Source organism: Homo sapiens, chromosome 6 (genome assembly GCF_000001405.40).
Source record: "Homo sapiens chromosome 6, GRCh38.p14 Primary Assembly".
Lineage (NCBI taxonomy): Eukaryota > Metazoa > Chordata > Mammalia > Primates > Hominidae > Homo > Homo sapiens.
In genome coordinates, this window is record NC_000006.12 from 125694108 (window position 1) to 125705117 (window position 11010).

Sequence of the window (11010 nt, forward strand, 5' to 3'; positions counted from 1 at the left end):
GGAATGTGTGTTTGGAGGTAGGTTCCCACCTCACACTTTGGGAACTCACAGTTTCTCACCTGTTTCATGGAATTTGCAGTGGCATGCTGCTTCTTTCAAAGTGTGAATTCTTTCAGTTTTCCTGGTATGTTCCTGCAGTGATCCTTGGAGAAAAGTTCACAGTGTGAGTCTGCACACACTGTTGTGACCATTCATGTGGGAGCTGCACGTTAGCCTTGTTTCCTATCTGCCATCTTCCCCCAATATCCGATAGTTTGCTTTTTGAAAAGATCAACACAATTGATAAACCCTCTGGTTAAAAAAAAAAGAAAAAGAAACAGACTCAAATTACTGAATCAGGAATGAAAGGGGATATTACTACCAATCTTTGAGAAATAAAAAGAATTATTAGAGAATACTATGAACAATCATATGCCAACAAATTAGATTAGTTAGATGAAATGGACAAATTCCTAAAAGAATACAGTCTACTTAAACTGATTAAAGGAGAAATAGAAAATTTGAGTCAATCTATAACAAATTAAAATATTAAACTAATAATCAAAAAAATTGCCACCAGAAAAAAGGTCAGAACCAAATCTCTTCACTGGTAAGTTCTACCACATATTTAATAAGAATAACACTAATTCTTCACAAACTTTTTCAAAAAATAGAAAGGGAGGAGACATTTCCCAGATCATTCTATGAGGCCAGTATTTACTTGATACCAAAACTAGATAAAGCGATCAAAAGAAAAAAAAAAAAGCTACGGACCAGTAGCTCTTATAAATGTAATAAATATGGATACAAAAATTCTCAACAAAATACTAGCAAACTGATTTCAATAACATATAAAAATAATTATATGCCATAATCAAGTGAGATTTATCTGAGGTATACAAGTTTGTTTCAACATATCAAAACTAATCAATGTTATACACCATATTAACAGAATATGGGGCCAAAGAAACCACATAATCATCTCAATAGACACACACAAAAAAGCATTTGATGAAATTCAACCTGCTTCCATGAAACACACACACACACACACACACACACACACACACACACACACACACACCAGCTCCTTTGGATACATACCCAGAAAAGGAATTGCGTATCATATGGTAGTTCTATTTTTAACTTTTTGTGGAACCTCCACATCATTTTTCATAATGGCTGTACTAATCTATATTCCTACCAACAGTGTACCAGGGTTCCCTCTTCTCCACATCTTCACCGGTACTTATCTCTTGTCTTTTCGGCTAATAATCAATAATAACCTGCCTTTTTAGCAGGTATAAGGTAGTATCTCATTGTAGTTTTAATTTGCATTTCCCTGATGATTAGCGATGTTGACCACCTTTCATGTATCTCTTGGCCATTTGTATATCTTCTTTTGAGAAATGCCTGTTCAGGTCCTTTACCCATTTTTAAATCAGGTTATTTGTTTTTCTTGCTATTAAGTTGTTTGAGTTCCTCAAATATTTATCATATTAGCCCCACAGATTAATGAATAAAGAAAATGTGGTATATATGCACAATAGAATACTATACATCCTTTAAAATGAAAAAAAATTTACCATTTGTGAAAACATAAATGAAGCTGGAAGACATTATGCTAAGTGAAATAAGACAGTCCCGGAAAGAACAAACACTCCATGAACTCACTTATATTTGGAATTTTAAAAATCATTACTCATAGAGGCAGAGAGTAAAATGGTGGTTACCAAAGGCTGGGGTGGGGAGGGTGGGGAAAGTGTAGTCATGGGTGAAAAGGTACACAGTTTCAGTTAGGCAAGAGGAAGCAGTTTTAGAGATCTATTGCACAGCATGGTGACCATACTAACATACTGCATATTTCAAAATTGCTAAAAGAGTAAAATTTAAATGTTCTCATTATTTAAAAAAGATAAGTACGTGAGGTGATGAATATATTAATAAGCCTGATTTAATCTTTCTAAAATATGTACATATATCAAAACATCATGTTGAACCCCACATATGTATATAGCTATTATTTGTCAACTAAAAATTTTAAAAAGCAAAACATGCAACAGGCTAGGAATATAAGGCACTTATTCAACCTGATAAAGTGTATCTGTGAAAAACCCACAATTCATATTATACTTAATTGCAAAAGTCTAAAAGCTTTTTTCCTAAGGTCCAAAACAAGACAAAGATGTTCACTGTTGCCACATGTGTTAACATTGTATTGGAGATTCTACCCAGGGCAGTCAGGCAATAAAAAGAAATACAAGGAATCTAGATTGAAAAAGAAGAAATAAAACTATCTGTATTTGCAGATGACATAATCTTTTTTTTTTTTTTTTTTTTTTTTTTTTTTTAGATGGAGTCTCACTCTGTCACCCAGGCTAGAGTGCAGTGGCGCGATCTCAGCTCACTGCAAGCTCCACCCCGGGGGTTCACGCCATTCTCCTGCCTCAGCCTCCCGCGTAGTAGTCCCAACTACTCGGCGCCGGCCACTACACCAGGCTAATTTTTTTTGTATTTTTAGTAGAGTCGGGGTTTCACCCTGTTAGCCAGGATGGTCTCGATCTCCTGACCTCGTGATCCACCCGTCTGGCCTCCCAAGGTGCTGGGATTACAGGCATGAGCCACCCGGCCGACATAATCTTATACACAGAAAGTCCTAGGAGATCCACACCTGCCCCTCCCCCCAAAAAATCCTATTAGAGGTAATAAGTGAGTTCAGCAAGGTTATGGGATACATGGACAATACAAAAAAATTAACTGTATTTCTATGCACTTGTAATTAACAATCCAAAGATAAAATTAAGAAAATAATTCTATTTACAAAAGAATCAGCAAGAATAAACCTTATGAATAGATGTAACCAAAGAAATGTAAGACATACACACTGAAAAATGCAGAACATCATTGAAAAGGATTAAAGAATACCTAAATAAATGAAAAGACATTCCATGTTCATGGATTGGAAGACTTAATATTGTTTAGACAGCAATACTCTTCAAATTGATCTACAGATTCAATATAATCCTTGTCAAAATTTTAGCTGCCTCTTTTGCAAACACTGAAAAGCTGATCCCAAAATTCATATGGAAATTCAGGACCTATCATACCCAAAACAATCTTGAAAAAGTATAATAAAGTTGGAGACTCACAATTTCCAATTTCAAAGCTAGAGTATTTACCACAAAGCTACAGTATTGAAGACTGTATGGTATTGCCATAAAGATAGAACTACAGATCAATGAATAGAGAGCCCAGAAATAAACCCATGCATTCATGGTCAATTGATTTTGATAAGGATGCCAGGACAATTCAATGAGGGAAAACAGAGGCTTTTCCACAAATGACACTCGGACAACTAGATATGCACATGCAAAAGAATGAAGCTGAATGTCAATCTTATGCCATATATAAAAATTAACTCCAAATAGTCAAATATCTAAATATAAGAGCTAAAATTATTAAAAATCTTAAAAGAAAACATGAGATTAAATCTTTACCACCTTAGATTAGGCAATGCTTTTCTAGATATGAAACCAGAACACAAGCAACCAATAAAAAAATTGATAACTGGACTTCATCAAAAATTTTAAAAACTTTGCTTCAAAGAAAACTATCAAAAAGTGAGAAGATCAGCAACAAGGTGGGAGAAAATATTTACATCTCATGTATCTGGAAAAGAATCTAGTTTCCAGAATCCTTTATTGTTGTAAGAGCTCTATAAACAGCTCTTACAACTCAACAATGAAAGACAAATAACTCAATTAATAAATGAGCAAAGGATTTGTATAGATATTTCCCCAAAGAATATATGCAGGTGGCCAATAAGCATATGAAAAGATGTTAGCTATCATTAGTCATTAGGGAAATGCAAATCAAAATCATAATGAGATACCACTTCACACCCACTAGATGGCTATAATCAAAAAGACAAACCATAACAAGTATTGCTAAGGATGTAGAAAAATTGGAACACTCATACACTGTTTTTTCAAGTGTAAAATGATGCAGCCACTTTGGGAAACAATTTGCCAGTTCCTCAAAAAGTCAAACATGGGGTTACCATGCAACCTGGTAATAACACTCCCGTGCATATACCCAAGAGAACTGACAACAAAAACTTGTACATTAATACTCATAACAGCACTATTCATAGCAGCCAAAAAGTAGAAACGACACAAAAGTTTATCAACCAATGAAAGATTAAACAAACAAAATGTGGTAAATCCATAGAATGGAATATTATTCAGTCATGAAACAGAATGAAGTACTGATACATGCTACAATATGGATGAAATTTGAAAACCTATGCTAAGTGAAAGAAGTCAGACACAAAAAGCCCACATATTCTATGACTTCAATTGTATGAAATGTCCAGAATAAGTAAATCCATAGAACTAGAAAGTAGATTTGTGATTGCTTAGGTCTAGGGGAGGAGAGGAAACAGAGAGTGACTGCTAATGGGTATGAGTTTCTTTTTGGGATAAGAAAATGTTCTGGAATTAGGCAGTGGTGATAGTTGCACAACCTTACAAATATACTAAAATCTGCTGAATTGTACACATTAAAAGGGTGAATTTCATAATATGTGAGTTAAGCCTGAATTTAAAAAAAAATTTGAATCTGGGATATAACAAGTTGTGTAAAATTACACTAAATCCTAAGGTGTACTCTGCTATGTTACATGCACAAAGTGAAGTAAAGTGAAAGAGAACAGGTGAAGGTATATGGCTAGGAAAATGAACAAAATAAATATTTTTTTCTTCAAGCAGAAAAATTCTTATTCACCCATGACAAGAAGGTTAGTGACTATTTCCAGAATGTATGTAGATTGTGAAAAATGAAGTGCCTAGTTCTTAGATATACCATTTGTGGTTTTAAGACCAAGAAATGCAAGGTGTCTCAATTCCCAGATCACACTTTTTTATTAAGCAAACAAAAGTCATGAGATGGTCATGTTTAAAATCTGCACCCTTCTCCAATCAGGCTCTCCAACCAAAGACATGCTGTGACAGTTTCCCCTATTCTAGTTAGCATGGCTTTTGGGTTAACAGAAAAGAGCATTTTACCAGAAAAAGAGAGAAAATTTTAAAAGACTTCATATTTTTAAAAAATCTCTACTTTGATGAAAGAAAAAAACATCTGGTTGATTTATACTTTTACTGTAGACAGAATACACACAATTTCAGGATGGTAATTACCTCCAGAGAGGAAGGGAGGAGGGAGAAGCAATGGGAAGAAGAGAGTGAGGAGCTGAAGTGGGTGAGGGTAGCCCCATCTTTAATATTATACTTTTTATAAACACAGAAAACAAGCTAAAGCAAAGCATTTATATGTTTAATTTTAATGACAGATGTATGGGCATCTGTTACTTTCTTTGTTAAGCTTTCCCGTATTTTTGAGACATTTGAAAATATAACAATTATTTTTAAATTATTTGATATTTAAAATATATTTTTCACTGTAATAACACAGTATTTTTTAAATTTTTTCCAGTTGTAGTTAATAATAGCTAAGTACTGTTCCAAGCTGGCAAAAAGTCCTTAAAAATACATTCGGTCAGTCATGAAACATTTATTCAGGACCTACCACAGCTCTATGTGCCAAGTGTTATGAAAGGTGCTCGTGATACAAAGATAAATAAGACACAGACTCTGCCTTCAAAAAGCTCTTGTCCTAGCGGGAAATTCAGACAGGTAAATGGATAATCTCAAGACAATTTAGTAAGTGCTATGAGAAATATATGCACAGGCGAGAGGCATGGGCTCAGAGAAGGGGGTGAAAAAATCAGTCACATGTACTTCCCTGATTCTCCCTGGGGAATTAAACACTGAATACATCAAGCCTAGGTAGAAATGGAAGAAGAAGATAACAAAAAAGTGTTTATCTAGCATAGTGACATAATGCACCAAATGTAGACAACACTATAATTTTTCCCTCTGTAATTTTTAAAGCCTTAATTTCATATACTTATTTTAATCAAATTCATTTAGCCAACTGTGAAATTTCTGCATACTTTGTACTAAGGAGACTTTTGTTGGCTAGCATTTACTTTTTTACTAAATCTTCATGATATCTGTGGAAGATAAGTGATATTAATATCCCCATTTTACAAATAAGAGGACTGAGTTTTCTGTGTAGCTCAAAAGTTTGTCCAAATTAGCAAATCTGGTTAAACAGTTCCCTAAACCACCTGCCCACACTAACTCAATGTCAGTTATGTAATGGAAAAATAAAAGAGCCATAGAACCTTCTATTACTACAAAGATTATTTTCATCATAATGTCTGAAATTCCATCTAATTTTTAAGATTAAGAAAGCCTTTGAAATTATTTGGTTGATTACATTTTATTAACAGAGTGCTTGTATGTTTAACCATTAACTCTGCAAAGTGTGTAAAGGAAAACCAATCTAATGGCATTCATTTTCCATGACCGAACAACTGGATTTGGTTCTGGTCAATTAAAATGGCCTGTCCAGGACTCTCAACAGGACAGTGATTGATGTCAAGAAAGAGCCCTTATTGAGACCTACTGGCTGTTTTGTAAAGAAAAGTCACAAGGATCCCATTCCTTAGTGGTGTTTGGATGAGGGGGACACAGTGCCATTGGCAACCAGCAGGATGTTAGGGAAAAAAAACAAAAAGAAAAGGCATGTATTGTTTAATAGAGATCAGCTGCTGATGAGACACTTATCAGAACCCCCTTTGTTCCCAAGGCTGGGAGGATTTGCCACAGACTCCCTAGACAACAAGAACACAAGCAGGGTCTCACAGACAAAAAACACATGAGAAATTACCCAGGAGCCCAGGAACCCCAGATGATAGCCACCTCGGAGAGGGAGTGCAGGAGAATGATTGTCCAAGCAGCTCTCTAACACTGTGAGATGCCAGACTTAGGGGACAACAGGGGCCAAAGCTTCAGGGATGCCAAGAGACACAGAACTGTTGCCATTTAAATGAAGCCTGAAACAGAGGGCCTTACTGCTAAGTTTTTGTTGTTTGAAAGGATTTTCATTCAGATCTGTGCTAAGTGGGCTCTTGTGTTTCTCAGTAACCCAGCTTCCTGATGGACTGCATGCCCCTGGGGACCCTTCCTGTCCCATCAAGTGTGAGAACAAATTTGCCTGATTCTCCTCCAGAGAGAGCTTGGCAGTCACACAGCAGGTTGTGTCTCCCACACAAAGGCATTTCCTTGTATTCCAGTGACCCTTGCTTCGACCCCTTGTTTCCACCTCTAAGTGCCTTCCTCAGATACTACGTTACATGTACCATTGCTTTGTGGGCAAAGGAGACTTCTTTCATTCTTTATTATTTGACCAAACTATAGGTCACAATAGTGACAGTGACAGTCCTCAAAGAGCCTAGGCCAAGGCTAAAGGGGCATGTAACTCCATGACAGTTGCCTTCATTAGAAACAGTGCTTAAAGCAGGAATTCCAGCTGGGTGTCCTGTTTCGAAGTTCACTTACTTTCTCTCCTTTCCCTTCCTTAAGAACTCAAAGTAAGGAGAAGGCTAATTTTGCTAAGGTTTCAGAAAACAACACCCAACTGGTAATTTATTGAAACAAAGTGACTTATTTACTCCTAGAGACAAGTATAGAACTATAAAAAGAATGAAAGAACTCCGAATATGTCAAAATGCTCATAGTACTGTAAGTTAAAAACTGAATTAACTATTCAGCCTACATTGTCTATTTAAAATTGTAAAACTGGCCAGGCATAACAAAGACCTGAATTTTAGGTTCTTAGTTTGTATGGTTAATTTCATGCGCGTCTGTGTGAAGAGACCACCAAACAGGCTTTGTGTGAGCAACATGGCTGTTTATTTCACCTGGGTGCAGGCAGGCTGAGTCCGAAAAGAGAGTCAGCGAAGGGAGATAGGGGTGGGGCCGTTTTATAGGATTTGGGTAGGTAAAGGAAAATTACAGTCAAAGGGGGGTTGTTCTCTGGCGGGCAGGAGTGGGGGTCGCAAGGTGCTCAGTGGGGGTGCTTTTTGAGCCAGGATGAGCCAGGAAAAGGACTTTCACAAGGTAATGTCATCACTTAAGGCAAGGACCGGCCATTTACACTTCTTTTGTGGTGGAATGTCATCAGTTAAGGTGAGGCAGGGCATATTCACTTCTTTTGTGATTCTTCAGTCACTTCAGGCCATCTGGGTGTATACGTGCAAGTCACAGGGGATGTGATGGCTTGGCTTGGGCTCAGAGGCCTGACATTCCTGCCTTCTTATATTAATAAGAAAAATAAAACAAAATAGTGTTGAAGTGTTGGGGCGGCGAAAATTTTTGGGGGGTGGTATGGAGAGAGAATGGGCGATGTTTCTCCGGGCTGCTTCAAGTGGGATTAGGGGCGGCATGGGAACCTAGAGTGGGAGAGATTAAGCTGAAGGGAGGTCTTGTGGTAAGGGATGATATTGTGGGAATGTTAGAAGAAACATTTGTCGTATAGAATGATTGGTAATGGCCTGGATACGGTTTTGGATGAACTGAGAAACTAAATGGAATAACAGAAGAAGAAAAACAGGTATAAAAGGTCTAAGAATTGGGACGACTCAGGATATCTGATTAGAGAGTGCCTAAGGAGATTCAGCATAGTCCTGCCAGCAAAGATTATTTATTTACTTCAAGAGTTAGGAGTGGCAGTTTGGGGATAGCACCAGGAGATATCAGCTGTGATGGCTTGGAAAAACAGTGTAAACCGGCAGTGTAAACAAGAGCAGGGCATGTATGAGTAGTTGAGAACGGTGAATAGGAGTATGACTAGACAGAAGATAGTAGGGATGACAAGTTTTTTGGGGGGCACAGTCTAAGTTGGTCTGGTGTCTGGAATGAGACTGGGGCCTAATAAAAAGGAGCGTCTATACAGGAGCTTAAATGGGCTGTACCCTGTAGCATTCTGAAAACAGGCCTGAATTCTGAGAAGGGAAAGTGGTAAAAGTATTGTCCAGTCCTTTTTAAGTTGGTGGCTGAGCTTGGTGAGGTGTGTTTTTAAAAGACCTTTAGTCCATTCTACTTTTCTTGAAGATGGAGGAACGTAAGGGATATAAAGGTTTCACTGAATACTAAGAGCCTGAAAAACTGCTTGGCTGATTTGACTAATAAAGGCTGGTCTGTTATCAGACTGCATCGAGGTGGGAAGGCTAAACTGAGGAATTATGTCTGACAGAAGGGAAGAAATGACTGCGGTGGCCTTCTCAGACCCTGTAGGAAAGGCCTCTACCTATCCAGTGAAAGTATCTACCTAGACTAAGAGGTATTTTAGTTATCTGACTCAGGGCATGTTGAGTAAAGCTAATTTGCCAGTCCTGGGTGGGGCAAATCCTCGAGCTTGATGTGTAGGGAAGGGAGGGGGCCTGAATAATCCCTGAGGAGTAGTAGAATAGCAGATGGAACACTGAGAAGTTATTTCCTTGAGGATAGATTTCCACGATGGAAAGGAAATGAGAGGTTCTAAGAGGCGGGCTAGTGGCTTGTACTATAGCATAGCCTGCCTTTGCTGGTGTGTGGCGATTAGGCCTGGTGGAACCGCCATCAATAAATCAAGCGTGATCAGGGTGAGGAACAGGAAAGAAGGAAATATGGGGAAATGGGGTGAATATCAGGTGGATCAGAGAGATACAGTCATGGGGGTCAGGTGCGGTATCAGGAATAATGTGGGAGGCCAGATTGAAGTCCGGGCCAGGAACAATGGTAATTGTGGGACTTAAAGAGTGACTACAGCTGAAGGAGCCGGGGAGCAGAAAGTATATGCGTCAGGTATGAGGAAGAAAATAGATTTTGGAAGTTATGAGAACTGTAGAGAGTGAGTTGACCATAGTTTGTGATTTTGAGGGCCTCTAAAAGTATTAAAGCAGTGGTAGCCGCTGCACGGAGACATGAGGGCTAGGCTAAAACAGTAAGGTCAAGTTGTTTGGACAGAAAGGCTACAGGGTGTGGTCCTGGCTCTTGTGTAAGAATTCTGACCGCACTAACCATGCCTAGGAAGGAAAGAAGTTGTTGTTTTGTAGGAGGTGCTGGAGTTTGAGAGATCAGTCAGACATGATTGGCAGGGAGAGCACGTGTGTTTTTATGAGAATTATGCCGAGATAGGTAACAGATGAGGAAGAAATTTGGGCTTGATTGAAGTAATGGGGGCTGTCTGTGAAGCTTTGCAGCAGTACAGCCTAGGTAATTTGCTGAGCTTGATGGGTGTCAGGGTCAGTCCAAGTGAAAGCAAAGAGAGGCTGGGATTAAGGGTGCAAAGGAATAGTAAAGAAAGCATGTTTGAGATCTAGAACAGAATAATAGGTTGTAGAGGCAGGTATTGAGGATAGGAGAGTATATGGGTTTGGCACCACGGGGTGGATAGGCAAAACAATTTGGTTGATAAGGCGCAGATCCTGAACTAACTTGTAAGGCTTGTCTGGTTTTAGGACAGGTAAAATGGGGGAATTGTAAGGAGAGTTTATAGGCTTTAAAAGGCCATGCTGTAGCAGGCGAGTGATAACAGGCTTTAATCTTTTTAAAGCGTGCTGTGGGGTGGAATATTGGTGTTGAGTGGGGTAAGGGTGATTAGGTTTTAATGAAATGGTAAGGGATGCATGATTGGTCACCAAGGAGGGAGTAGAGGTATCTTATACTTGTGGGTTAAGGTTGGGGGATACAAGAGGAGGATGCAAAGGAGGCTTTGGATTGGGAAGAAGGGCGGCAATGAGATATAGCTGTAGTCCAGGAATAGTCAGGGAAGCAGATAATTTAAAGTGTCTCAGCCTAATAAGGGAACTGGGCAGGTGGGGATAACTAAAAAGGAGTGCTTAAAAGAGTATTGTCTAAGTTGGCACCAGAGTTGGGGAGTTTTAAGAGGTTTAGAAGCCTGGCCGTCAATACCCACAACAGTTATGGAGGCAAGGGAAGCAGGCCCTTGAAAAGAAGGTAATGTGGAGTGGGTAGCCTCCGTATTGATTAAGAAGGGGACGGGCTTACCTTCCACTGTGAGAGTTACCCGAAGCTCGGCGTCCGTGATGGTCTAGGGAGCTTCCGAGGCGATCGGGCAGTG

At 38.7% G+C, this 11010-nt stretch overlaps 2 long non-coding RNA genes across 10 annotated transcripts in view, besides 1 other annotated feature; one reads left to right on the top strand and one right to left on the bottom strand.

The window, feature by feature from the left end:
* The window catches only part of HEY2-AS1 (HEY2 antisense RNA 1), a 171898-nt gene that overhangs the window by 116580 nt on the left and 44308 nt on the right, over positions 1–11010 (bottom strand). For 3 of the 9 annotated variants that reach the window (NR_183493.1, NR_183494.1, NR_183497.1), the window contains one exon: positions 60–291. The exons of the other annotated variants lie outside the window; for them this stretch is intronic. This is a non-coding gene — a long non-coding RNA (HEY2 antisense RNA 1). The remainder of the gene's footprint in view (positions 1–59; positions 292–11010) is intronic. 9 annotated transcript variants of the gene reach the window in all.
* Positions 1–11010, top strand: part of LINC02523 (long intergenic non-protein coding RNA 2523) — a 45866-nt gene that overhangs the window by 19755 nt on the left and 15101 nt on the right. The window lies entirely within an intron of this gene.
* Positions 7764–8418: an enhancer, noted in NCBI's record as "OCT4-NANOG-H3K27ac hESC enhancer chr6:126023017-126023671 (GRCh37/hg19 assembly coordinates)". NCBI's record gives its function as "activates a minimal SCP1, AML or CMV promoter by ChIP-STARR-seq in naive and primed H9 embryonic stem cells {active_cell/tissue: H9 hESC(naive and primed)}" and the evidence as "EXISTENCE:reporter gene assay evidence [ECO:0000049][PMID:30033119]".